We start from the raw sequence: 26334 nt of genomic DNA on the forward strand, positions 1-26334 counted from the left end.
CACCTTTCCAGCCTTGGCCATCAGGGTCATAGACAAGCGTGAGCACTGCCAGGGCTAAGAGACTCTAAAACTCCCAGACCAGGACTTCACCTACGCCAGGGTAAATGGCATCTTCTCGTTCTTGGCTTTGTGGGCAGACAATGATGGTGATGATGGTGGTGAGGATGAGGGTGAGGACGATGACCTGATGGTAACGACAGTGATGGTGGTGAAGATAACTGATGGTAGTGCTGTTGAGGATGGTGACGTGAGGACGGCGATACTGATGATCATGGTGGTGGTAATGAGGATGGTGTTGGTGGTGGTGGTGTGAGGATGGTGACGATGGTGATGGTGATGGTTGTGACAATGGTGATAGTGATTATGGCGGTGATGGCGATGGTGAGGATGATGGTGATGGTGGCAATGGCGAGGATGATGGTGAAAATGGTGGTGAGGATGATGGTGACGGTGATGAGGGTGATGGTGATGAGGATGGTGATGGTAGTGATGATACTGTCATGTGTATAATGTACTGACTATATATCAAGCACTGCCTTAGTGCTTTGCACATATTCACTTATTTAAGCCACACAGTAATCCTATGAGCTGTAAGGGACAACCCTGTAAATTGTTCCTATTTACAGAAGCACAAACTGAGACACAGAGAGCTCAGGGCCTCGCCCAGCATGGGGCCGTGCGGCACGGAGCTCAGGGCCTCGCCCAGTGTGGGGCAGTGCGGCACAGAGCGGGCGTCTTCTTTGGAGCCTGAGTCTTGGCCTCCTGACCATGCCCAGCATGTCCCTTCGGGGCCTGGGGTCTGTCCTCTGCTCCCAGGCATTCCTGCCTATCACAAACCCACACCAGGGTGACGTTCCCTGAGCCCCCGAGCCCAGCCCCGGCGCCGTGAATGGTCGCCTCACTCGGGCAGCTTCCGAGAGGTGGATGTGTCTCTCCTTTTCTCCTCGCCCTGATTAATTGCCTCATTCAATGCCGACTCCACTGCAGTTAAACATTAATTCAGTAGGACTTAATAACACGAATTCATTCACGCCCCTGCCTGCGCCTGGCTGACAGTGCCGTGCTATTTGGTTAATGAGAGGATCCATGCAGCGTCCTCTGGTGCGCTTGCTGGAAAGCACCCCTCAGTGTCTCCTTGCTGTTGGATGCATTAAACCCTCGCCTGTGTGGTCAGCCTGGCTGGGTCCAGCCACAGACCTGAAACCCACGGGGAGATCCGTAACCAGGTCCGGGCTTGTGGGAGCTGCTGGCTCTGGCCCATGGGTCTCGGGGCCAACCCAGGCTCAAGCAGGGATCTGGGTGCGGGGATAAGAGCAGAGGCTGGACTGGGCAGGTGGCCCCCAGGCCACGGGTGCACCCATGTGGCCCCAAGTGTCAGGCTGCTCTCGAGGCCTGATTGGCCAGAACCCTGACAGTCTGGTGGGATTGCAGTTTCCAAGTCAAAGGCTCTGCAGCGCAAATTCAGCAGGGAGAGGCCTCACTGGGGGTCCCCAGAAATCCCACTGTGAGGCTAGAAGGGCACCTGACTCCCCTGCAGGCCTCTGGATGCTGGTGGGGCTGCCTCCTGTCCCACCTCCAGGGCGCACTCCCTCTCGGCCCTCCCCAGGCTCCCCATGTGCAGAGGGCATCCTTGGCACAGTCTCGGCTCCTGCTTTGCCCTCTTCCGGTCCCCTCAGCCCTGGCGTGTTCTGGCATGTTCCTCCCCTCCCCTGCGCTCCCCGCAGGAGCTTGTGGCTTTCCCCTGCCCCACGTCCTGGTCTTTGCTTCCTTTGCTCCTGGCTGAGCCTGGGCAGTTCCATTTCATACTTTCCTCACCAAACACCAAGGCCCGCCCATATCACAGCAGGGGAGATGGAGGACTCAGAGGCCCAGGGCCACCAGCAAAGCTGGTCTGCATGTCGGGGTCCTGTGGCCCAGCCCTTGGTGAGCTCCGCACCTGCAGCCTCCGGGGCGGGATGGGCCCGGTTCTGACTTGGAGCCCTCAGTTCTTGTGTGGTGGGCCGGGCTGGGCGGGTGCAGGTGGGACTGAGGCCCTTCTCTACCTCTCACCCTGAAGGCCAGACCGGGGGAACCCTAGGAGAGGGCTTGGCCACGGCTGAAAGGCCAGACCGGGGGGACCCTAGGAGAGGGCTTGGCCACGGCTGAAAGGCCAGACCGGGGGGACCCTAGGAGAGGGCTTGGCCACGGCTGAAAGGCCAGACCGGGGGGGACCCTAGGAGAGGGCTTGGCCACGGCTGAAAGGCCAGACCAGGGGGGACCAGCACACAGCCGGGACAGACAGCCTGGGGGAGCCTGTCAGCCTCAGGAGACCCCCCCCACAGGCCCACCCCAGCTGCCCAGCTTCCCCAGGGGTCCCAGCTGGGGTCCCACTTGTAGGAGCCACCTGGAGTGTGACTCGTCATGCGCTGGGAGCAGCACGTTCTCGCTGCAGAGTGTCTGCTAAAGCGCATTTCACACCGTACTGTGAGCTCCGTCGCTGAACACTCGGCAGCCGCGGCTGCACATGGAGGGTGGCTGTGCGTTTGGTTCCCTGCATTAACCCAGTGGGCTCCACATAGGAGGGCGCCGCCCACACATCCGGCTGGCACTCACCACCCTCCGTGCACTGGGGGGTTTATTCTTCCACCAGGTCATTCATTCGACGTGAATGCCTCATAATTGCAGTTGCCAGGAGGGGATTTTTCCCCTTTTGACTGTTTCGGGGGACATTGCAGTCAGTGTGTTCTTCGTAGAGCTCTGCTTACTGAAAACGGAGAACGGACAGTCAGTGTGTTCTTCGTAGGGCTCTGCTTACTGAAAACGGAGAACGGACAGTCAGTGTGTTCTTCGTAGGGCTCTGCTTACTGAAAACGGAGAACGGACAGTCAGTGTGTTCTTCGTAGGGCTCTGCTTACTGAAAACGGAGAACGGACAGTCAGTGTGTTCTTTGTAGGGCTCTGCCTACTGAAAACGGAGAACGGATTTGTTTTCGGGATTATCACACCCCCACCCTAACCAGCCAAGCTGACAAATGGCGCTGGCATCGAGTGTCTAACCCTGAGCGGCCGTGGCCCTCCGTGCGCTGCCAGCCCCTCCTCTGCCCCCGGCTGTCCTGACCCCAGGGGCTCCCAGGCTCTGCCCACCATCAGGAGCTGGGGTGCCTGGATCTCCCAGCCCATGTGGTGCCATCGATCCCCTCAGGGGGTCACTGGGGACAGTGGGGCTGTCCTGGGCCGGAGGCTGCCCTCCTTCCTGGTGTGAGGAAGGCTCTGGCTGGCCCAGGATGGGGGTCTTCATGGCCGCCCTGCTCTGAGGGTCTGGCCAGTGAGGGCTCCTCTCGGGCTGCAGGGCCAGTCTTGTCCCCATCGCTGGCTAGTCGGCCTGGCTGTGCCCCTTTGTCCATCCCACCCGGGGGGCTGTGATCCAGGTCTGTCTGGTGCAGCACTGGGCCCTGGCCCAGGTTCCTCCTAACCGCCCCGACCACCTGGGCCTGCTGGTACCTCCCTCTCCTGGCAGCAGCCAGGGCCGCCCCACCCGTGCCCCTGCAGCCTGGCTGCTGCCGTGCCCCGGGGGGTGACACTGGTTGGTGGGGCCCCGACTCACTTCTGTCTCTCTGTCCCTGCAGTGTGACAGCGAGAGCGGCCCGGACGACAAGGTAAGCCCAGCGTCCTCCTCCTGGGCTCGGCTGACAGCCCTGCCCTTCCCTGCTGACCTTGGCCCTGTGAGGTGGGCCCTGGAGACCAGGCAGAAGATCGGGCCTTGGGGGGATCCCCCCGCCCGGTGGGTGCAGGGGGCTTGTGGCCTCCCAGGTATGGGGGTGCTGGCCTCTCCTGGCTGTGGAAGAGCCTGTCCAGGGCTGGGGCCGGTACCGTGTCTGGAGGGACACAGGCCCAGGTGGGCATCAGTGCTGCCCCAGCCAGGAGGGTGCCCTGGGCAGGGCTGCCATGGGGTCGAGCACATCAGCTCCAGCTCCTGGGCAGCAGAGGGCAGCTGGGCCTGTGCCCCAGGACTGGCCCCATCAGTCCTGAGGGAGCAGGGGCAGAGCCCAGCCCCCACCCTAAACCCGGTGGACCCCAGAACCAGGAGGTAGATGCGCAGCCTATGACCACATCACAGTCACCCTCAGTGCTCAGGAGCAAGCAGGATTCCTGCAGCCTCAGCCAGGAGTGAACCCCCCGGGCAGCCCCTGAGCCACGTCCCCTCAGCCTCGGAGCAGCCTCCGGGGGGGCTCTCCTTCTGCCCCGCTTGCCCCAGAGCCCTGCGGGGAGGAACCGTCACCTGCTGTGGCCGAGGAGCATCAGGCCCCGGAGGGCGAGGAGGCCAGGCAGGTGGCGTGAGGTCCCGGCCCGTAACCACTGCACCTCACTGTCTCCCTGTGACTGCCAAGGGCTACCCGGGGGCACCTGGACGGGGGTGAGGGCCCTGCCAGATGTGCCAGGGGAATGGTCACCCCGGCCTCAGGGACGGCCCTGCAGAGGCCCGAGGCGGACTGCATGTGTGCGACGATTCTCGCCCTGAGCCAGGGAGACGCTGCCCTGGGTTTCCAGGCAGGTTTTTATGAATGGAACAGTTCCATGAGGGGTCTGCACAGGGGTTAGGGGACGCCCACTGTGGCCCGTGGCCTGGCAGGAGCTGTCTGGGCTGTGGGGTCTCACAGCTGAGGGCCCGGTGGGGGTCCAGATATTGGAGTCAGTGGCGGTGGCCGGGGGAGGAGGGTCTGGGCGGTTCAGTTTTCGACGTACCAAGAAGTCAAGGTAAGTCGCCGTGGAAGCCAGAGGCCGCACCGTCGCCGCGGCCTGGGGTCTGGGGCAGGCGCCGTGTGGGCCGCAGTGCCGGGCTCAGCCGTGTCTGGGGCTCCAGCATCCTGGGCTGCTTCCAGCCACGATGTCCCTGCCCAACACACCTCTCCTCGCCCGTCCGCAGATGGACACTGTTGGGGACGCGTCCTGGTGGTCACAAAGCCCATAGGAGTGGCCTCACCCGGGACCCCGCGTGGCTCCGCGTGGCCCTCAGCCCCTGCCCACAGCTTCCGCGCCCGAACCGTGACGGGCCTAACATTTCAGATGAGTAACCTTGTCCTGATCTCAGGAATGAAATGAGGTCACGGGCACCCAGGAAATAGCCACTCACCCCCTCCCCACCTCCTTTCATTTAAAAGCAGTTTTTGGGGAAGACACCCTCCACAACCAAGGGTTGCTCTGAGAGAGGCAGGAAGGAGGGGATTTCGGGAGCCTGGGGCCTACTGGGGGCTCCCTCTCCCCTCCCCGCCTGCCTTACCGAGATGAGGCAAAGCCACCTGTGGCCCCGGAGGCCAGGTCCACGTGGAGTCGGCGATGCCGGCGGGGAAGGCTGACAGCCGCCCCCATAACTGCACGCCCCCCATGTCCAGCAACCAAGGGTAACGCCAGCCTCCGAGACCCAAACGATGTCTGTGCAGGCTGTGCCTGCAGAGATGCGGCCCCTGCCCGGGCCTGGGCTGGAGGCCGAGGGGTCCATGGGAGAGCACAGGCTGAAAGAGGGTTCTAGAATGGGGTCAGGTGGAGTCTGCACACTGGGGCGTTTATTTCTGAGACGCCCAAGCAGCCCCAGGGGAGATGACCAGCTCTGGGCGGTGTCGGGGAGGCTGAGTCCAGTCCAGGGCTCTGCACACGGAGGGTCCCGGCAGGGCGAGTTTGGCATTCCTGCACACGGAGGGTCCCGGCAGGGAGAGTTTGGCATTCCTGCACACAGAGGGTCCCGGCAGGGCGAGTTTGGCATTCCGTGCCGTTGGGGCCGTGTTGGGGCTTCTAGGGCTGTGGTGGCCACAGGTCCTGAGGAGGACAGCAGGGGAGGGAGAGGGGCTGCGGAGGACGGCAGGGGAGCGGAGAGGGGCTGCCAGCCTTTCTCCAGGGCAGAACTTCGGGTCACGCCCACTCTGGGGAGAGCAGAGAGGCCTGGCGGGGCGGGGACGGAGAAGGCAGCTCCGCCAAACACTGAGTCCCCGTGATGGTGGCTCCTTCTGGCTGCGGCAAGGTCTGAGCGCCGGCGCACAAAGCGGGGGCACGGTGCTGGCAGAGTGGGTGGGACCTGCCTGTGGCCCCGTTTGCTTCTGTTGGGGGGCAGCTCCCGGAGGCTGCTCGGGGAGAGCAGCAGGGTGGGCCAGGAAAACTGCAGGGGCCTCTCCTTGTTGGCCCGTCAGCCTGTCCGTCTGTGTGACCTTGGGGCATGCTCTGAGGGGTGTGTCCCAGGCTGACTCAAGACAGCTAAGCCAGAGGTGGGGACGACCCTGGTGCGTTCTGGGAGCCGGCAGTGCATCCTGGGCTGCAGCGGAGCGAGAGAGAGGAGCCCAGAGCCGGCAGCAGGAGTTTCCGTTTCCCTCCGAGTGCATGGGATGCTGCACCGTAGGACTCCCCCGTCCAGACGTCTCCGTTTCCCCATGGCATCCAGCCCCTGATGCTCAGAAATTAGCTTCCTGAGTTTGGGAGAGTTGGGAGGGCAGGAGGCCTCAGGTCCCTCCTGGTCTTCTCTGCCCGGCGCTGGGTTCAGGGGGTCAGGAACTTACGCTGGGCGGAGGGTGTGCGTGGAGCCCATCCAGACGCACACAGAGGCGTAGGCAGGTGTGGGAAGTCAGCCAGCACCCCACTGGCCGTCCCCAGCCCTCCTCCCTACCCGCTGGGAGCAGAGGCACCCAGATCTCTGTCCCTGGGCACTGCTGTGCGAGGCCGGCACCCCTGCCAGGGAGCAGGCAGGAGGGACAGAGCCCTGCAGGCTCCAGATGGCAGAATTCCCGGCTCTGAGACAGGAACATGGGGGTGCTTCGCATCAGCAGTGCCCAGAGCCCCTCAGCAGCCCCGGGCTTGTGTGGAACCCGTCTGTGAACTGGATATGGAAGGAAGGTCCCCGAGTGCCCACATTTACAGGGACCCTCAGAGACCTCACTCAGACCTGGGAGGCCCATTGCTCACATGGCCTGGCTGCTCCCGGTGGGCAGAAGATGGAGAAGCCACAGACAGCGTCCTGCGTGGGGTCTGTGGGCGCTGACCCAGCAGCCGTGCAGGGAACAGCCCTGCCCGCAGAAGCGGATGCCGGGGCAGGTGGCAGTGCACCCCGAGGAAGCCTTCTGGACGGAGTGGTGGGGAGGGCGCGGGCGCATGTCTCAGGCCAGTGCACTTCACATCTCATCCCACACCTGCGGGTTTGAGCTTGGTTTGGGGTGCCAGCTCCCACCTGGCCAGCCACCCCTTGGGGACTCACCCTGGGCTCTCCTGCCAATCAAGGTGGAGACTTTGGGACAGCCCTCCTCCACGTGAACAGACTGACCGAGACACCTCTCCACCACCTCCCTCACACTGTGCCCGCCCAGCCGCCCCCTCCCCTGGCCCTTGGCAGGAGGCTCCTTGGCAGCTGACGGGAGGCTCGGGCACTGCCAGATGGCCCCTTCGCAAGTCTTCGGTTTGTGTCTAACCACTTTTTCCTTGGAAAAGTGTGGGGTGAAGAGCGATATGGGACTCCATAGGCAGCCGCCAGGTGGTGGTGGCCTCGCTCCTCCTGCTGCCGGGGGCTGCCACGGCCACCTCCAGGGATGGCTGTCTGGCCCGTCTGTGGAAGCCCATCAGGAAGCACCCCCAGTGCCGGGCCTCAGCCAAGAGCACCGGCCTGGAAGGGGCAGGGCTGGGGGACAGTGGCATGAGGTCAGACATGGCGTGGGGCCGACCCCGCAGGCAGCCCACCATCCACAGCCTCCATGTTCTGTCTGCAAAATGGGGCCACAGTGGGGCCTGGGCAGAGGAGAGAACTGCCCACTGCCCCAAGCACGGTCCCCAGAGAGCTGGAGGCCAGCCAGTCCTCCACACCCAGCCCCTCCCCAGCAGACCCTTCTTCCAGTGGGGCGCTGTGCCCGACTGGGTCCTCTCTGAACCTCTGCCTTTTCGTCACTGAAGTTCGTAGGTTCTTGTTCTTGGGAACTGTGAGTTCAGGCACTACCAGCACGACAGCCAGAGGGACGGACGGACGGCTGGACAGGCTGGAGGCCCCTGCCATGGGCACTCACCCCGTGGGACAGACAGAAGGATGGATGGACGGTTGGACAGGCTGGAGGCCCCTGCCTTGGGGCACTCACCCCGCAGGATGGACAGAAGGGCGGATGGATGGCTGGACAGGCTGGAGGCCCCTGCTATGGGGCACTCACCCCACGGGACAGACAAAGGATGGATGGACAGCTGGACAGGCTGGAGGCCCCTGCCATGGGCACTCACCCCGCGGGACAGACAGAAGGACGGATGGACGGCTGGACAGGCTGGAGGCCCCTTCCATGGGGCACTCACCCCGTGCGACAGACAGAAGGACGGATGGACGGCTGGACGGGCCGGAGGCCCCTGCCGTGGACACTCACCCCGCAGGACAGACAGAAGGACGGATGGACGGCTGGACAGGCTGGAGGCCCCTGCCGTGGACACTCACCCCGCAGGACAGACAGAAGGACGGATGGACGGCTGGACAGGCTGGAGGCCCCTGCCGTGGGCGCTCACCCCGCAGTTGCTGGGCCTCCGTGGGGTCCTGGGAAATTTCAACAGCAGTCCAGTGTGCGGGCCGCGCCTTTGTTCTGTCCAGCCAGCGGCCCAGGCTGCGCCTTTGTTGTATCTGGCCGCCGGCAGGCCAGGCACCTTCTGAGGAAGGGTTGCTGCGTGTCTGTGGCTCACGGAGGCCTTCCTCTGTGTGTGACTCACACCCCCCACCCACCCCAGCCCACTTCTGGGAGCATCTTCCTGGGGGCTTTGGAGGCCCATCCATTCTTCCCTAGGGACAAAAGTGCAGGGAGCGGCGTCCCAGGTGCCACCGTCTCTGGGGAACGTGGGCCAGGACTCCCTTTGCTGGACACAGACCCTGCCCACACCGGGTGACCGTGGGGTGACCTCACAGGGTGTGTGGGGTTCCGAAGCCGCCACCCTCCTTCCTGAGCCTGCACTTTGACCTGGGACTGCTGAGCCCAGAAGGGCCTTGAGAGGGCTGGCTCAGTGGCACGTGGGGGCCTTGGGTGGTTGGGTCCCCGAGACAGGCCATCTCGCTCCTTGTGTGGCAGGCTGCGGGGCCCTGCTTGCCTGGGTCCCACGTGGTAGAACTCGGCGTTTGGTGGGGGCCTGCTGGGGACAGGAAGGGACAGCACCCCACCCTGAGCTGGCACTCATGCTTCACTGGAGCCAGGCGGAGGGGCCGAGGGCACCGGCACAAGGTGCAGACGTGTCGGTCCCTTTGAGGACCGAGATCATGACCACCACGGAGCAAGCGCCCGGGTCCTCAGATCAAAGGCCCAATAGCCAGTGAGGCTTCTCTGCACTGGTCCCAGCAGAAGCGGGGCCTGGCTGAGGCAGTGGCATCAGAGACTCGGGGCAATGGGAGTGCGAGGGGGGTCTCAGCGTCCCACAGCTGCTGTAACAAGTCGCCGTAAACACAGTCACTCAAAACGGCACGAGCTGATGGCAGCAGTGGAGCTGGAGGTCCAGGATGGGTCTCACCAGGCTGAAGTCAAGGTACCGACCTCAGGGGAATTGGTGTCCTGCCTTTCCCAGCCTCAGAGGCCCCACTTGGCTGTACCTGGGCAGCTGCTCCGCTCCACGGGCCTAGCCTCGCTCACAGGGCTCCAAGAACAGAGCCTGGATCGTCCTGAGGGCCCCGTGATGTCCCCGTCACAGCAAAGGAAGATTTAGGATGCACTGGAAGCCCAGAAGTCCAGAGAAGGGGCTCAGAGCCATCGGTCGCCACGGGGCACCTCGGGGGTCCCACGAACACTGCAGCGGGCGTCAGACCCTCAAGCGTCGGTAAGGGCCTCACCGCCTTGGGAGGGGTCAGCAGTTACCGGAGGACTCTGGGCAGTGGCAGGGAGCAGCAACAAGGGCCCCCCATTCAGGCCCTCACCCCCGGCACTTGGAGGAGGTGCCGCCCCTGCCTCGGAAGCCTCGAGGGCAACCTGCACCCTCAGGAGGCCCAGCTGGGGGCGTCACTGCAGGGCACCGGCAGAAACTGGGGTCTGAAAACAGCAGCCCAGAGTGGATTTGGAACAGAACAGGGTGTCACAGAAAGGATGTTTCATGAGGTGGGTTTTGATGAGTATGTTTAAATAAATGTAACTTAATTGATGTTAAATATGCATCTTAATGCTTTTCTAAAATGTGCAATTGGGCCAGTTGCGGTGACTCATGCCTGTAATCCCAGCACTTTGGGAGGCTGAGGCGGGCAGATCACTTGAGGTCAGGAGTTCAAGACCAGCCTGGCCAACACAGCAAAACCCCGTCTCTACTAAAAATATAAAAATTAGCTGGGCGTGGTGGCAGGCGCCTTTAATCCCAGCACTTTAGGAGGCCAAGCGGGTGGATCACCTGAGGTCAGGAGTTCAAGACCAGCCTGGCCAACGTGGCAAAACCCCGTCTCTACAAAAAATACAAAATTAGCTGGCTGTGGTGGTGTGCGCCTATAATCCCAGCTACTCAAGAGGCTGAGGAGGGATGGTCACCTGAACCCCGGAGGTGGAGGCTGCAGTGAGCTGAGATCGCGCCATTGCACTCCAGCCTGGGCGACAAAGTGAGACTCTGTCTCCAAAAAACAAAAAAAATGTGCGGTTGGAACTATATCTCGAAATCGGAAACCAGACATTCTGAAGACAAGCTTGTGTGGCCTTTGGCGCCATCCTGCCCCCTGCTGGGGGCGACCTCCACCGCAGACGACCTTCTGAGCCCTGGTTTCCTTGCCTGTAAAATGGAGTAGCGCCTGCCAAGGACGGCTGTGGGGATGGCTGAATTCAATGCATTTGGGGGAGGTACGTGTTTCCTGTGATTTAATATTTCACGAACGTTAAACCTGTGCTGGGCACAGCTCTCCCTCGGGTGGGAGTGTAGCTGTGGTGTATCTCTGGAGGGGGGTCACGGCTTTCTCTGGCAGGCAGCATGGGGCCCTGGTGTCCCGTGGCCTCCACGGTAGCCGCCCCACCCGAGCGTGAGCGTGGCCTCCACGGTAGCCGCCCCACCCGAGCGTGAGCGTGGCCTCCACGGTAGCCGCCCCACCCGAGCGTGAGCATGGCCTCCACGGTAGCTGCGCCACCGGAGCGTGAGCGTGGCCTCCACGGTAGCCGCCCCACCCGAGCGTGAGCGTGGCCTCCACGGTAGCCGCCCCACCCGAGCGTGAGCGTGGGGGCCACGGTAGCCGCCTCACCCGAGCGTGAGCGTGGGGGCCACACCCACAAGTCTGGCATCATGGTGTTGGGTTCATGCTCCCTCCAGAGGCCCCAGAGGAGGATCCTTCCTGCCTCTTCCCACTCCTGCTGACTCCGGCATCCCTGGCTGGTGGTTGCATTGCTCCTATCTCTGCCCCTGTCCGTCCTCACATGGCCCCTCCTGTGTGTGTGTCTTTGTGTCTCTTCTCCTCAAAATGACGCCAGTCCTCGGATTTAGGTCCACCTGGATAACCTGGGAGGGCCCCATCTGAGGGTCAGGATGGGTGTGGGCTTGGGGCCTGCAGGCGGCCCCACCTTTCTCCCCGCAGGCACTCGTGCCTGTGTACCAGCCTTCAGGGCCGGTTGTGGCCTCGGGGTTCCAGGAGGCGCTGCCATCCAGGGCCTCGGGCACAGCATCCCTGGGCTCTTCCCCCAGCCCCTGGGGTCCTCTCTTCTCAGAGGCTTTCCCTGGGTTTCTGTGTTTCCGCGAAGTTCCGGTGCCTTCTGCACTTTCCCTGGGAGCTGAAATTCGCTAGGATTTGCATTTCCAGGCCGGCAGCCTCCAGGGATGCTGAGCAGCATCTGAACATCCCTATAGGTGGTTCTGGCTTTTGCTTTTCTCCCGACATTCCGGGTGGAGATGGTGAACACACGCTTCTCCGGGCTCCCCCTGATGCTGCCCTCAGGCCTTGGGGGTCTGGCCTACCCCTCACCTATGCACCACAGCCTTGCTCAGAGAGTGCACACCTCTGCGACAGACAGAACCTCAGAGTCGTTCCATGGCAAAGCCACACTGCCAGCGTGGCTGTGGCCTACACAGGCCGGGCAACAGCAGGCGCAGGCCCTACCCCCCACGCCACGACTCAAGGCCCAAGCCTGCTGGGTGCGTCTGAGTGTTCGTCCTGTGGGACGCTCCTCTCCAGGCCTTCGTGCTGCACCCCAACCCCTGTCCTGTGGGACGCTCCTCTCCAGGCCTTCGTGCTGCACCCCCCTCCACCCACCCCTGTCCTGTGGGACGCTCCTCTCCAGGCCTTCCTGCTGCCCCCGCCACCCACCCCCCTCCTGTGGGACGCTCCTCTCCAGGCCTTCATGCTGCCTCCAACCCCTGTCCTGTGGGACGCTCCTCTCCAGGCCTTCATGCTGCCTCCAACCCCTGTCCTGTGGGACGCTCTTCTTCAGGCCTTCGTGCTGCACCCCAACCCCTGTCCTGTGGGACGCTCCTCTCCAGGCCTTCGTGCTGCACCCCCCTCCACCCACCCCTGTCCTGTGGGACGCTCTTCTTCAGGCCCTTGTGCTGCCCCCCAAACCCCCGTCCCGTGGGAGGTTCCTCTCCAGGCGTGAGAGGACACGGCCCAATTCAAGGACACGTGCCCCGCGGAGTGGCAGCCTTGAGGAAGCAGTCTTGTGGTCTCCTGGCCCCAGCGCTCGGCTAACCATGGCCGAATGGAGGTTGGGTGCCCCCCAGGGTGGTTTCCAGGGCGATCCGGTGTCCTGGGGTGGCTGGGGCAGCATGGCTGAGAGGACCCTGTGTGCTCTGCACTCCTGGTTAATGGTTGGGGCCTCCAGCACCTTCCCATGCCTTCCCATGATGGCACCCCCTGGCCACCCGCTGCGTAACGATGGCAGACGCAGTTACAGTGTTGGTTTCTGAACCGTAAGCTCTGGATAAATGTGCCTCTGAACACCACCGTCAAGTCCCTAACTGGATTATGTATATTTGGCCTGGAAGCCTGATACTTAATATCAGCCTGCTCTCCGGTGAATGCCTTTCTTCCCCCGGATAATCTATTCCCACTCCGCTTCCTTCTAGACTTCTAACCTCACTACATCTTTCATATCAGAGCTACTCTCCTTTCTAAACAAAACACAGACCTGCCCCTGGTTCTGAGTCTAGTTTCACCCCCAAACTGGGGCGCAGGGCTGTGGGGCGGGGCTCGGGGCTCGGGGCTGGGTTTTCGGCCCCGTTGACCCAGGCCAGGATCTCTGCCTGTTCCAGGATGGTCAGTGCTGAAGGCGGCCTCAGGACTGAGGTTAGAAAGTGGGGTTGGAAGCCTCGTTTGTGGCAGGAAGATGGCTTCTCCTGTGATTCCAGTGGTGAGGTCCCAAGAGAGGAGCCGGCCACATTGAGACTGGCCGTAGCCCAATTGGAGCTGGCCAGTTGCTGCCCCTCAATTCCTTCTTCCTGCTCCCCCAACTCCCCAGCCCCCTGGGGTCTCCAGTCAGCAGGGAGAGTGGGCACAGCTTGGCGGGACCGAGGCCTGCTGGGCAGCCGCTTCCCGTGCCCTGTACCCAGAGAAGGAGCTGATGGCAGCACAGCTTCTCAGGGGGCTGAGGATGCACTGGATCCATCTGTGCCGAGTCCCCAGAGCAGGGCCTGGAAGAGGGGACTGGGGATGGCATCCTCCCAGGGCCAGGCACGCAGGAAGGGGCTGAGCTAGGGTTCTGCCTGAGTCTGTCTTCTCTCCTCCCCTCCCCCCGCCCGTTCCCTCTCTGTGGGCCTCACCATCTGGACCCCCCATGGACAGAAATGACCTCGTCACAGGGCCCCTTCACGGCCTTTGTCCTCACGGCCCCTCCTGGCTGGCTTTGCCCAGGCCAGCACCCTGGGCCTGACCTTAACCCTGACTTATCCCTGAGGGCTCCACGCATTTCAAATGGAGCGGCCCCATCCCCATCTCAGGAGTGGCCCACCACCTTCCCAGGGGAGTGTCCCTGCTGAGCCATGAGCCCTGCGGCCAGCCTGCCGGCTCAGCCCAGCCCAGCTCTGCCACAGAGCAGCCACGCCAGCAGCACGTCTGTTTTCTCGTCGGTGAGACGAGTGGTGGCTTATCCAAGTCCTCAGAGTACAGGCTTCAGGGCCCTGTGGCTTGCGGCATGCAGTGCGCCCGGAAGTGCCTATGTGGACACAGTGTGTGTGCATGGACGCAAGCGCGTGCCGTTTTCATGGCAGGAAACAGCAGGGCTTTGGGGGCGACTTGTTGGTAAAGGGAGTACGTGTATTTGGTAAGTAGTTCAAATAGAACCTGAGGGCTGGAACTCCCTGGCTGAGGCCGACCTTGGTGATTCCTTCTATACCGTTGGAGGCATCCTGCGAACGTTGGCGCCTTTGGGAGCAGAAAGTGCTGGTCCAGCTTGCAGAGGGCTCCATCGAACCCGTGTGGGAGCTGCTCCCGCGGTTTGAATGGCTGCGGGCTCCGCCATGGATAGGCCCTGCCCGGGGCCAGGCCTTCCAAGCCCAGAAATAGAAACGTGGCCACAGCTCCCACCTCAGTCCCGAAACTGGAGCCCAAGCCCTCTGTCCCTGGCCGCACCAGAGCCGGCCTCCCTGTGTGCTGCCAGCCACGCAGCAGCTTGGAGAGGACCCGTCCTTAAACACTTCCCGACTGCCGGGTCCAGAGCTGCGCCCTCCCTCCCTTACTCATCGCGTTTGAGTTCGCAGTTGGTGTCCTGGTTTTCCACCTGAGTGGGCGCTGGGATGGAAGGGTCCCGCCCAGGCGTCTGGTGCGGTCAGGCGCACATAAGCAGCCTTTGCAGGAAGCCGTGGCTGGGCCTCGATCCGAGTTCTAGCGCCCCACCGTAAGGGAGAGCCAGGTGCTTCCTGTCCCTCCCGGCCACCTCAAGTGTAAAATCACGGGGTTCAGGGCGGTGGTCTTGGGGGCTGCGCTGCACAGCCGTTTGCAGCTACAGCAGCTGCTCGGAGCTGTCTCCGACTTTGCACCCCCGTTTCACAGAGGGAGAAACCGAGGCCCAGGGAGGGCGGGGCTTGCAGCGGACGGGTGGGGGAAGGGCTCCTCCTTTCAGGTCCCAACTCTCCACAGTGGCAATGAGGTCGCTCTTTTTTCCTTTTTTTGAGACCTTGTCTCGCTCTGTCACCTACGCTGAAGTGCAGTGGTGCAATCTCGGCTCACTGCAGCCTCCACCTCCCGGGCTCAGTTGATCCTCCCACCTCAGCCTCCCCAGTAGCTGGGGCCACAGGCGCGTGCCGCCACCTCCGGCTAATTTTTTTATTTCGTAGAGACGGGCGGGGGTGGGGGGTCTTCCTATGTTGGCCAGGCTGGTCTCGAACTCCTGGGCTCAAGTGATCCGCCCACCTCGGCCTCCCAAAGTGCTGTTTCAGGCGCCGGCCACCGCGCCCGGCTGTCGCCCTTTCTGACTCAGTTTCCCCTTCTGGGAGCGGGGTGGCAGGTGTCCGTAACTTCTTGTTGTGAGGACCAGAGGAGCAGCGCCCACACAGCGCTCAGTGAGGCCGGCGCTGCGCGCCTTTCCCCGGGTGGCCGTGATCGGAGGCAGCGCGTTCGGACCCCGGGCCGGCGGCGGGCGCGGGTGGATCGGCGCCTCGGGGCTGGATTAGTCGGGTCTGCCCGCGCCCCGCCCCCGCCCCGCCCGCGCTCCCGCCTCCCGCGCGCCCAGCTCCGCGCCCGCCGCCTCGGGGCCCGCGCCGCGCCCGACGTCCGCCCGGGAGCCCAGAGCGCACCGAGCGCCGCCCAGAGCGCGCAGAGCCGGCGCGGCGGACATGCGCGTCCCCGGCCCGAGCTCCGGCTGAGCAGGGCACGCGGGGAGAGGGGTCGCCTGGACGGGCCAGGGCCACCCGGGGCTCGCGCTCCACGCCCGCGTCCATGCAGCCCGGCTCCGGCCCCGGGACTAGGGGCGACTGCCTGGGGCGCCGGCGAGGTGAGTGCGCGCTGCGGACTCCAGAGAGGGAATTGGGACTTTGGGGGGACAGGGGAGGGGGAGCGACCGCCCCCCCAGAAGAGCGGGACGCCCGAGATCTCCGGGCCTTCTGCCCACACCGCCTCTCCCGGAGCCAAGCGCGGAGACCGCGTCCTCCCGGGGGCGCACGTGGCGGCGGGCGGGCGGGGGTGCGGCGCGGCCGAGGGTCCCAGGCCCGGGTCAGGGCACCCGGGGTCCGGGGGTGGAGGCGGGGCCGAGCGTTGTGGGTGGCGCGCGCCTTTGTCTGCGCCCAGGTGCGGAATCGGCCACCCGGGTTCCCGGCGCCGCGCTCACCTGCCCCGAGTTGGAGTTCTTTGTCTGGGGCGGGGCGCGGCTGGCCCAGGCTGCGCCGCGTGTCTGGCCGAGGCTGCTCCGCGGGTCGGGTCCTCGCAGACAAAGCGCGCCCTGACCTCCGCCCGCCGCCGGGATTGTGCACCTCGCGGGGGCTGAGGCTTGCCCGGGCGCCCCCGCTGCCTCTTCGCAGGGACCCTGAGCCTGCGGACCCGGAGTCCTCCCACCTGTACCCTGGGCTTGAGTGATCCTCTACCCCACGCGGGCTAGGAGGCAGAGGCGGCTGCTCGTGCCTGGGTCACGTCCCTGCAGACCATGGCCGAGAAGTTAAGCGGGTCTGGTGGCCCCTGGGGCTGCCACCCCATTTGGGTCATCTGGCCACTGCCAGAAGCCCTGTCCTAGAAGGGAAAGAGCTGAGGGACCGCGTGGAGGAACGAGCCCCAGAAGGTGCAGCTGCTGTGTGTGGTCTAGGAAGGGGTTGGAGCCTGGGCCAGGCCCCCAGAGGGCCGGCCCCTGTTCTGCTCTCAGCCCTCCCGGATGGGCGTGGCTGCACCTGGCCAGGTGTTCAGGTTCTCACTGTGAGGTGGAGGCCACCTGCCTCCGGGGCCTCTGCTAGGGCCGAGGACCCCTGGAGCACCCATTCTCAGCCTCCCTGAGCAAACTCGTCTGCTAAGTGTAGGGCCCACTGTGGCGTGACCAGAATGGGTGCTGGATGGCCCCAGCCGCGCGGCCCGTGCGGAAGACCCTCCCCTTCCTTGCAGCCCTCTTGGCTTCGCTGGTGTCTGGGGCGCCCCCTTGTGGCCCTGGGGAGCTTGTGTTCGAACCTGGGACGTGGAGCGGAACCCACTAGAGTGTTTGGGTCCCAGTGAAGGGGAGGGCAGCAGAGCCCCAGAAGGGCTCCAACCTGTGGTTACCCTAGAGACGAGGGCCGGCTTTGGGGGCTGTGCTTTGGGGTCTGCCTTTTGGGTTGGCCGTCAAACTGCGGGCTAAGCTGGCTTCTCCTCCCTCTGCCCACCTGGGAGGCCTCAGCACCCGCCTCCTTCCTGGCCCCTGGAGAGTCCTGGCGGCGTGGTGGGGCCTGCTGCCCCAACCACAGAGGGGGCAGTTAACAGGTGGGCCACCTGGCGAAGAGGCCACTCAAACCCGGGACGCCAGCCAAGAAGAGGGCCCGCGTGCGTGCCAGAGACAGTGCAGCCCCTCAGATGAGGGGTCCAGAAGTCCTCCCAGGAGGATGGTGCAGGCCCAGGAGAGACCCCAGGGGTCTGTGGCAGGCCTGGGTGTTCAGTGCCTGGTTCATGGCTGGCATGGAGCAGCACTGGATCCCCATCCTTGCTGTGTGAGGGGCCCAGATTTGGGAGCCTGGCCCAAGGGAGCACTTGGTGCTGGCACTGCTGGGGGATGGGCACGGCCAAGGAGGTGCCGAGGCCTTTCTGGGGAGCCGCAGTGCCCCCTGGAGGCCCAAAGGCTGGTCTGGACTCCTCCCTGCCCACCTGCACAGGCCCCTTCACTATTCCTCCTGTTTCTCTCGGAGTCCTTCCTGTTTCCGATGCTGGGATGGTCACTGCGTAGCCTGGGTCACCGGCAGTGGCTGGACGGGGCAGGGAGGTGGAGGCGGACCCCATGGGAGCCACACTTCTGGGGGATGATGTTGAGGCGAGCAGAGAGGAGAAAGCCACATGCCCCAACCTCCAGGCCCCCTGGCTTCCCAGGGGTGAGAGGTTCCTGTCCTTCTTTCTTTGTAACAAGCCAGGATTCTAGGGGTGGTGGCCGCAAGGCTGGGGGAGGGAGAGGGTCATCGGGGCCCTGGACTGGGGCTGGGAGGGTCCCTTTCTGGGGTGCCGGGGTCTCCTAGCTTCCATCCGACCCGGCCCCTGTGTGGTTGAGCTGGGTCTGAGCAGAAACAACCTCCTCAGAAGGATGTCCTACGTCACTGCCTGGGGGTTGGTGGCTGGGGGCGCTGGACATAGAGTTGGTGTTTCACCCTGCAGAAGCCTGGGCTGCAGGACCCCGACCCCGGGGACCGCACAGGGTGAGCAGACCAAGTAGCGTCAGTGCCAGGAGCTCAGCATCCCTTCCCACCAGCTGCACCGCAGCCCTTTAACACACGAACGTGCGGGGCCCAACCGCTGCTCCTTTCCGAGGGGCCCACCTTCCTCCAGTGCAGGGGCCCTTCCGGCGCGTGTGGGTGTGGCAGGCCCGCCTCGGCTCTTGCCATCTTACAGGCATGGACCTGCTGCTCTTCTCTGTGGTTCAGGCCCTTGCGACGTGACTAGGAAGGGCTTCCCATTCCAGCAAGAAGGTGGAATCCACACCTGGTCTTCTCTGATACGTTGATGGTTTTTCACTTCTATGTTTGCGATCTGTCTGGAATTATTTTCAGATAAGAGGTGAAACAGGAGCTTGCTCTGAAGGACCTACGCCACACCTGGCCCCCACAGCCTGCACCCCACACCTGGCCCCCACAGCCTGCACCCCACGCCTGGCCCCCACAGCCTGCACCCCACGCCTGGCCCCCACAGCCTGCACCCCACGCCTGGCCCCCACAGCCTGCACCCCACGCCTGGCCCCCACAGCCTGCACCCCACGCCTGGCCCCCACAGCCTGCACCCCACGCCTGGCCCCCACAGCCTGCACCCCACGCCTGGCCCCCACAGCCTGCACCCCACGCCTGGCCCCCACAGCCTGCACCCCACGCCTGGCCCCCACAGCCTGCATCCCATGTCTGGCCCCCACGTCTGGCCCCCCAGCCCGTACCCCATGCCTGGCCCCCACAGCCTGCACCTCACATCTGGCCCCCCAGCCCGTACCCCACGCCTGGCCCCCACAGCCTGCACCCCACATCTGGTCCCCACAGCCTGCACCCCACACCTGGCCCCCACAGCCTGCACCATGTCTGGGGTTTCTCATTCGGTTCTGTGGATCTCTGTCCGTCGCGGCATCTGTGGGAACTCTGGGGCTTCTCATTGCGCTCTTGGATCTCCTTCCGTCTGTCCGTTTGCCTGTCCGTCTGTCCCAGCATCGTGTCACATCTTTTTGTTGGTTTCCAATGCTGTCATTTACTGGCAGTAAAATTCACCTATTTATTTTTGCAGTAAATGCAGCTATTTTAAGTGTGTGGTTTGCTTTTTGACACATACCTACGACTGTATACCCACCCCCGTCGCCCCTGAACCCCCGAGCTCCTGTGCACCCCCTGCACCCCTCCGGCTGACACATACCTACGACTGTACACTCACCCCCGTCGCCCCTGAACCCCCGAGCTTGTGTGCACCCCCTGCACCCCTCCGGCTGACACATACCTACGACTGTACACTCACTCCCGTCGCCCCTGAACCCCCGAGCACCTGTGCACCCCCTGCACCCCTCCAGCTGACACATACCTACGTCTGTACACCCACCCCCGTCGCCCCGAACCCCTGAGCTCCTGTGCACCCCCTGCACCCCTCGGCTGCTGTGGCTGGGGCCGCGCTCACGGTCACACGGCTGCGTGCTCTTTGTGGTCTGGCTTTGGCTCCTGTGATGTTTCTGAGGCTCACAGAGCGCGTGCCGACAGCAATTCCATATGTGGCTGAGGCAGACGCGCTCACTGTTGATCCGTCTGCCAGTTGCTGGACACGGGTGTCCCTCTGGGCAGCTGGGCCTGGCTTCACCCCAGCCCCACACCAGGCCCCGGTGGACCCTGAGCCGCCTCCCTTCTGCCCTGAACAGCAGCCCAGCTCCCTTGGCTGGGCCACGTGGGATTCAGGGGAAGCAGCTCCCACAGTGAGGACCTAGTAATCCACGTGTTCCAGATCCCTGCTTGGGATTTTGGTTGGGGTGATAGGAAACGTGTGCTGTGGCATGGGGACAGCAGGTCTCTTCCCAGCACCAGTGCCCCTCTGGGCTGGCTACGCCTGGTGAGCCTCCTGGCTCTGGGAGGGCCCCTGCCCTCGCCCTCCAAGGTTTTTTTTTTTGAGACGGAGTCTCGCTCTGTCGCCCAGGCTGGAGTCCAGTGGTACGATCTCAGCTCACTGCAAGCTCCGCCTCCCGGGTTCACGCCATTCTCCTGCCTCAGCCTCCCGAGTAGCTGGGACTACAGGCGCCCGCCACCACGCCCGGCTAATTTTTTGTATTTTTAGTAGAGACGGGGTTTCACCGTGTTAGCCAGGATGGTCTCGATCTCCTGACCTCGTGATCCGCCCTCCTCGGCCTCCCGAGTAGCTGGGACTACAGGCGCCCGCCACCACGCCCGGCTAATTTTTTGTATTTTTAGTAGAGACGGGGTTTCACCGTGTTGGCCAGGATGGTCTCGATCTGCTGACCTCGTGATCCGCCGGCCTCGGCCTCCCGCAGTGCTGGGATTTCAGGCGTGAGCCGCGGCCGGCCGCCCTCCTAGGTTTTAGTAGGTTGGAGAGCTGTGGGTCTCGCACGCTTCACCAGCCAAATTCCTAAGTCCCTTTTTATCGTTTTAACCCTAAGAGTCACAGGTCGTGTTACAGATCAGGGGGACAGACAAGCACAGAACCCCCATCTCCCAGCACCCAGCCTCCGAGTCAGATGCCCCCCGCCCTGGTCTCTCACAGCTGTGCTCACTAGGCAAGCCTGGCCGGCCCCTCCCTGGTAGCAGTGAAGCTGTTGATTATGTTTGTCGTTGTTGCATTTCAGTTACACAAGTGTTACCAGAATGCAGTCTCCTTTATACAAACTTAAAAGTATGAGTTTAAGCCTAGTCTCTTGTGCCCTCCACCCCCGCCATTCCCAGAGGGGACTGCTCTCTCCTGGTGGACACATTCTACAATTTCACCAACATAGACGCCGACACGCGGGCACCTACGTAAACACACATGTGATGCTCATGTAAACAAACATCCATGCACACACTGCCACCCAGGTACACACACCCGAGAATGTGTGTGTCCCTGTACGTGAACCCGAGTGTGCCCACGTACACGTACCCAACTGTCCTCATGTACACGTACCCGAGTGTGCTCATGTACACGTACCCGAGTGTGCCCATGTTCATGTATCCGTGTGTGTACGTACCCGAGTGTGTGTATGTGCCTGTGTGTACGTACTTGAGTTTGTGCCCATGTACGTGTACCCGAGTGTGTGTACGTGCCTGAGTGTGTGTACGTGCCCAAGCACAGGCACATTGTCCAGATCCACATAACACTCCTTCTTTGCAGTTGCTTCCTCCACACACAGAGTGTCCCCCATCTCTCCAGGGTACACACTGCAGTGTGGGTGAACGTCAAAAGCCGTGCAGTGAGAGAAGCCAATCACAGTAGGTCCGTGCCGCCTGACAGTGTTCACATGGAAGTTCGGAAAAGACGGCTCTGTAGAGACAGACAGATTTGTGGTTTCCCAGGGTTGGGGGTGACGGTTAGGAGTCAGGGTTTCTTTTTGGGGTGATGATAATGTTCTGTAATGGATCGTGGTGACAGGTGCATCACTGTGAACATACTAAACGCTAGTGAATTGTAAGCGTTAGACGGTGAGTTGGATGGTATGTGATTTACATCTCAAGTCTTAGTCCGTGCGGGCTGCTCTGGCCCAGTTCTGCAGCAGACATTCACAGCTCACAGTGCTGGAGGCCGCAAGCAGGTCAAGGCATGGCAGAGTCCCTGTGAGGGCTTCCTGGTCCATAGAGGGTGCCTCTCCGCTGCGTCCTCACATGGTGGAAGGGGCTAGGTGGCTCTGGGGCCCTTTATAAGGCACTGATGCCGCTCGTGAGGCTCCACACTCAAGACCTCATGACCTCATCACCTTCCACCTCCTGATCCCATCACCTGGGGGTGAGGATTTAAACATGTGAATTCTTGATAGACAGAAACGTTGAATCCACAACTCAATGAAGCTGTTTAATCAAAAAAAAAAAAAAAAGAAGAAGAAGAAACTAGGAGGGAAATATCTATTTAAGGTCATTCTTATGAAGCTCATTCCTGGAAACTGCCGTGAAGTCCCCCAGAGCATGGGGCCCTCCGTCCACCCCTCCCCATCAGCGGCCACATTCTCGCCACCTGCTTGTGGCAGGTGGTTGAGCGAGTTTCTCTGGAAGAGATGGAGGAGTGGGGCTGAGCAATTTCTGCGATTGACCCTCTGAGAGCTCCCCCACATAGCCTGGGACACTCAGCTGCCTCTCAGCAACACTGGGCACCAGGCCTAGAGCTTGGCCGGCCTGGGAGCATAGCGCAGCATTCTGTGGCTGCTGGGAGCTTGGCCGGCCGCAGGCACATAGCGCGGTGTCCTGTGGGCTCTGGGCACCAGGCCTAGAGCTTGGCCAGTCCCCAGCACATAATGCAGTGTCCTGTGGGTGCTGGGAGCTCGGCCGACCCCAGGCACATAGCGCGGTGTCCTGTGGGCGCTGGGCACCAGGCCTGGAGCTCAGCCGGCCCGGGAGCATAGCGAGGTGCCCTGCAGCCTTGCGGACCCACATGTCCAGCCTGGTCGGTATCCTGGTTCTCTCACTTTCGCCAGGGCGCCTGTGCTGGGCAGTGGTTGGGAGCAGGAGGTGTGTCCCGGGGCTCTCCATCATCCGCCTCTGGCCTGATGGGTGGGGGCCCAGCAGGGCCCACAGCTACTGGTGCTGGTTCTCCTGGGAGGGGTGCAGATTTGCCAAATGCCGGCGCTCCCCCAGTCCACGCCAGCAGCAGCCTTGGTTCCCGATCCCCCCACAAACCCCGTCTTCACTCAGACCCCCTCTAGGAAGCCTGCTGCTCTGAGCAGAGAGGGGCCTGTGTGCCCCCAGCGTGAGCACATGTATACACATGCGTGGAGCTCAGGACTAAGCGTGTTCACCTCGTACACGGGGGCATCCACAAGGGCACATCCCGCCTGGCCCTGCTGGAAAACCACCCAGACTTGTGTGTGGGCATTGGGCGCAAGGTCCACGAGGATGAGGACCACCCTGACTGCCCCTGACCCCCCTTCTCTCTCTCCAGGCATCCGTGGGCTCTGAGAAGCTCTTTGCGCCGGGAACCGATAAAGGTAAGTGGGTCCCCTCGGCCCAGCTCCTGGGCCTCTGAAGAGACACAATGCGCCCTGCGTCTTGGCGGCAGGACATCCCCCTGAAGTCAGGGGAGAGATGGTCTTGGCACCTGGGGTGCAGAGCTGGGTGGGACCAGGGTGCTGGGATTGCTGGGAAGCCCCCAGGAGCAGGGGAGAGTAGACGAAGCCACTGAGCCCTAGGCAGGGCCTGGGCTCCGCTCGTAGCAGCGGCTCCCAGAGTGGAACCGTTAGGAATGTGTGCTCTCAGGCCCTCCCCAGGTTCGTGGGGTCAGATGCTCGGTACTGAAGGGCCACCTGCCACGAGCACCACAATCACCTGTGGCTGCTGAGTTAAAGAGAAACGGGACTGAGACTCACTTCCCTGGCTCTGCTGCCTGCGCGCCTCTGTGGTGCAGTGGAGGGGCCTGGATTGCTGTTCCAGGCCAGGCCTTCGAAACCTGTGGCTGTGAGCTATGGGACAGGGTGTCTACAGGCCAGCAACCCTCTCCAGAGGGGGTAGCCCCGGCGTCTTAGGGGCCTTCGTAACCTGTGGCTGTGAGCTGTGGGGCGGGGTGTCCACGGGCCAGCAACCCTCTCCAGAGGGGATAGCCCCAGCGTCTTCTTAGGGCCTCCCTGGCGCTGGGATCCTGGGATTCCCACACCAAGGCCTAGGCGGGCAGCATCTCCGGCAGGGCCACGGGGTCTCGGCTCCTGCCTCCCTGGGTTTCCAGCTGGAACCACCCTTTTGCTGGGACGGCTTCATCCGGATGTGATTGGACAGGACAGGCCCTGCCAATGCCGGCAAGGATGGGCCCTACTGCCCTTCAGCAGGCATGGCCTTCACCTGCCTTCAAGTTGGAAGCCTGTTCACATCAGAGCATCACAGCAAAGCAGGCGCAGATGGGGTGGTGTCAGAAGGGGCGTGCATGGGACGGGCCCCGGTAGGAGAGGCAGCTGGCTTCGCAGACGGTGTCACGCGGGGCTGCTGAATACTCAGCTCACTGCCGCGGCTGCTGCCGCATCTGGACGGACAATGTCCCAGTGAGGGCTGGAGGTGCTAGAAGGGCACAGGAGGCCCCGCACGTGGGGTCTAGTCCAGGTCTGTGCGGCCCAAGCCTCTTTCCATCCTGATCACAGCTCTTACTATATGCAAGGCTGGCTTGGAGATGTGGGAGAGAGGAGGAGAGGTCCCGTGGGGCTGACCCAGGGAGCTGGGAAAGCCGGTGGAGATAGTGCCCGTGGGCTCCCTCTCTCCTGTGTCCTCCGCGCAGCCTCTCTGTGGTCGCTGGGTGGTGGCTGCTGTGGAAGGCCTGGCCCCAGGTGAAGAGTGAAGATGGGGCTGCTTCCTGCTGCCTGTTTTCACCTGGGAGGAACTCCTTGAGGCCCCAGAAGACCAGGCCCCATGGTCACATGGGGCAGGGACGGCCGCAGCTGTCCCCATGGGCCATGGCTCACTGTCCCAAGGCCTCAGGAAGGAAGCAGGGTCTGCCGGGGACGTGAACAGGAGGCATGCGGCACGTGGAACGTTGTTTTGTTTCTCCTGCGAAACTGGCCCCCTGACCGTGGCAGCTCCTGACCCCAGGCAACAGGAGCTCCACCACATGGACGCTGCCCTCTCCTGACTCCTGGGGACTTGATCTGAGACCTGCCCGAAGGGGCCTGAAAAGGAGGGTTTGGGGTGTGCGGGGGTGGGGGGGGCAGGCCCCAGGGGCTCAGAGGGGCCCACAGGACCTGCGGGGGACGTGCCTAGGTGGGCAGAAGGGTGGCCAGGGAGCAGGGCTGAGGGTGGCGGGTGACGGGCAGTCACAGTAGGGGGAAGCCTCCCACCCAGTCCCTGCCCAAGTTTCCAGGAAGTGGTCAAGCCTTCCACCAGGGGGTTCCAGAAAGAAAAGGTGGTTACAGCTGTGGGCGCTGCTGTTGGGGTGGGGCAGACCCATGCCCTGGGCTGAGGGCACATCCAGGGGCCGTGAACATGAGGCCTAGGTACACAGGCCCTAGCTCCCGTGTTCAAATCCAGCTCCCCTCTTGGGCCAAGTCCTTGATGTATCTTGGTTTTGTCTGTTAAATGAGGTCATAGCAGCCCCTGTCCAGGGACTGACTCTTGCAGGGCCTGTCCTGTCCCTGCCAGTGATGCGTCTTCGGGCAGGTGGGCTACCCACCCCCACCCCTGGCCACGGCCCAGGCTCCCAAGCCAGCTCCCTCCGCCGGGCGGGGCCTGGAGCCTCGGGTGAGATCCAGCTAGCTGTGTGGCCTCCGTGCCTGCCTCCTCATCTGAAATGGGGGCATAGCCGGAGCCCAGACATAGCCTGGGCACCGGGCACGTACCAGGGCTCCCTGGGCCACAGGAGGGGCAGGGACGAGGCCCTGCTGGTCTGAACGCAGCCACCCTCTCTCTGCAGGCCCAGCGCTTGAGAAGTCGGAGGCCAAGGCCGGGCCGGTGCCCAAGGTGTCAGGCCTGGAGCGCAGCCGCGAGCTCAGCGCCGAGAGCTTCCTGCCCACTGCCAGCCCCGCGCCCCATGCCGCGCCCTGCCCGGGGCCCCCGCCCGGCTCCCGCGCCAATCCCTTGGTGAAGAAGGAACCCCCCGCCCCGCACCGCCACACCCCGCAGCCGCCACCCCCGCAGCCCCGCGGCCTGCTCCCGACACACGTGCCTGCATCCCTGGGCGCCTTCGCGGGCCACAGCCAGGCGGCAGCCAACGGCCTGCACGGCCTCAGGTGGGGTCCCCGCGGGGGACGGGGCCTGTGTGGTCTCAGGATGGGGGCTCTGCAGGGGTCGGGCTGGCAGGCACTGAGCCCCGTGTCCCGCAGCAGGAGCAGCAGCGCCCCCCTGGGCCTGGGGAAGCACGTGTCGCTGTCGCCACACGGGCCGGGCCCCCACCTGTCTACCTCACACCTGGCGCTCCGGTCCCAGGCGCAGCACCAGCTCCACGCGGCCATGTTTGCCGCACCCCCGACACTGCCCCCGCCCCCGGCGCTGCCGGCCAGCAGCCTGGTCCTCCCAGGACACCCGGCCGGTAGGTGTCTCGGCCACAATCTCGCCCAGGGCAGGGGTTGGGGGGTGCGGGGACACGGCCACCGGGGAGGGGCGCACAGCCTGGCCCTCCACCTGCTGTGGTCTCTGCGGACCCTGCGCGCCTCTCTGAGTGGTTCCCCCAGGTGTGCCTTTCCCCAGGAGTCTCTGCTGGGCCACAGGCCATCTGTGTGCG

The 26334-nt window shown here is 63.5% G+C and overlaps 2 protein-coding genes across 21 annotated transcripts in view, besides 6 other annotated features; both read left to right on the plus strand.

Annotated features, from left to right (window-relative positions):
• The window catches only part of FBRSL1 (fibrosin like 1), a 95038-nt gene that overhangs the window by 54248 nt on the left and 14456 nt on the right, over positions 1–26334 (plus strand). For 18 of the 20 annotated variants that reach the window (XM_011534812.3, XM_011534807.4, XM_005266176.5 and 15 more), the window contains 4 exons: positions 3605–3634; positions 23083–23128; positions 25528–25843; positions 25937–26142. In XM_011534812.3, the coding sequence (XP_011533114.1) occupies positions 3605–3634; positions 23083–23128; positions 25528–25843; positions 25937–26142 (598 nt within the window). The remainder of the gene's footprint in view (positions 1–3604; positions 3635–23082; positions 23129–25527; positions 25844–25936; positions 26143–26334) is intronic. The other 2 variants (XM_047429219.1, XM_011534804.4) reach the window with 1 other exon arrangement.
• Positions 6294–6507: a silencer, noted in NCBI's record as "fragment chr12:133127278-133127491 (GRCh37/hg19 assembly coordinates)". NCBI's record gives its function as "represses an EF-1alpha promoter that drives an FKBP-Casp9 reporter gene in an ReSE screen in K562 erythroleukemia cells {active_cell/tissue: K562}" and the evidence as "EXISTENCE:reporter gene assay evidence [ECO:0000049][PMID:32094911]".
• Positions 7904–10098, plus strand: LOC124903061 (uncharacterized). Its single transcript, XM_047429968.1, has one exon. It carries the CDS (start codon positions 7997–7999, stop codon positions 8756–8758), a length of 762 nt encoding a protein of 253 aa, XP_047285924.1. The 5' UTR covers positions 7904–7996; the 3' UTR covers positions 8759–10098.
• Positions 15494–15793: a silencer, noted in NCBI's record as "silent region_5121". NCBI's record gives its function as "represses an Ori minimal core promoter by ATAC-STARR-seq in GM12878 lymphoblastoid cells {active_cell/tissue: GM12878}" and the evidence as "EXISTENCE:reporter gene assay evidence [ECO:0000049][PMID:35858748]".
• Positions 16064–16143: a silencer, noted in NCBI's record as "silent region_5122". NCBI's record gives its function as "represses an Ori minimal core promoter by ATAC-STARR-seq in GM12878 lymphoblastoid cells {active_cell/tissue: GM12878}" and the evidence as "EXISTENCE:reporter gene assay evidence [ECO:0000049][PMID:35858748]".
• Positions 16674–16743: an enhancer, noted in NCBI's record as "active region_7382". NCBI's record gives its function as "activates an Ori minimal core promoter by ATAC-STARR-seq in GM12878 lymphoblastoid cells {active_cell/tissue: GM12878}" and the evidence as "EXISTENCE:reporter gene assay evidence [ECO:0000049][PMID:35858748]".
• Positions 16754–17093: an enhancer, noted in NCBI's record as "active region_7383". NCBI's record gives its function as "activates an Ori minimal core promoter by ATAC-STARR-seq in GM12878 lymphoblastoid cells {active_cell/tissue: GM12878}" and the evidence as "EXISTENCE:reporter gene assay evidence [ECO:0000049][PMID:35858748]".
• Positions 17224–17273: an enhancer, noted in NCBI's record as "active region_7384". NCBI's record gives its function as "activates an Ori minimal core promoter by ATAC-STARR-seq in GM12878 lymphoblastoid cells {active_cell/tissue: GM12878}" and the evidence as "EXISTENCE:reporter gene assay evidence [ECO:0000049][PMID:35858748]".

Source organism: Homo sapiens, chromosome 12, assembly GCF_000001405.40.
Source record: "Homo sapiens chromosome 12, GRCh38.p14 Primary Assembly".
NCBI lineage: Eukaryota > Metazoa > Chordata > Mammalia > Primates > Hominidae > Homo > Homo sapiens.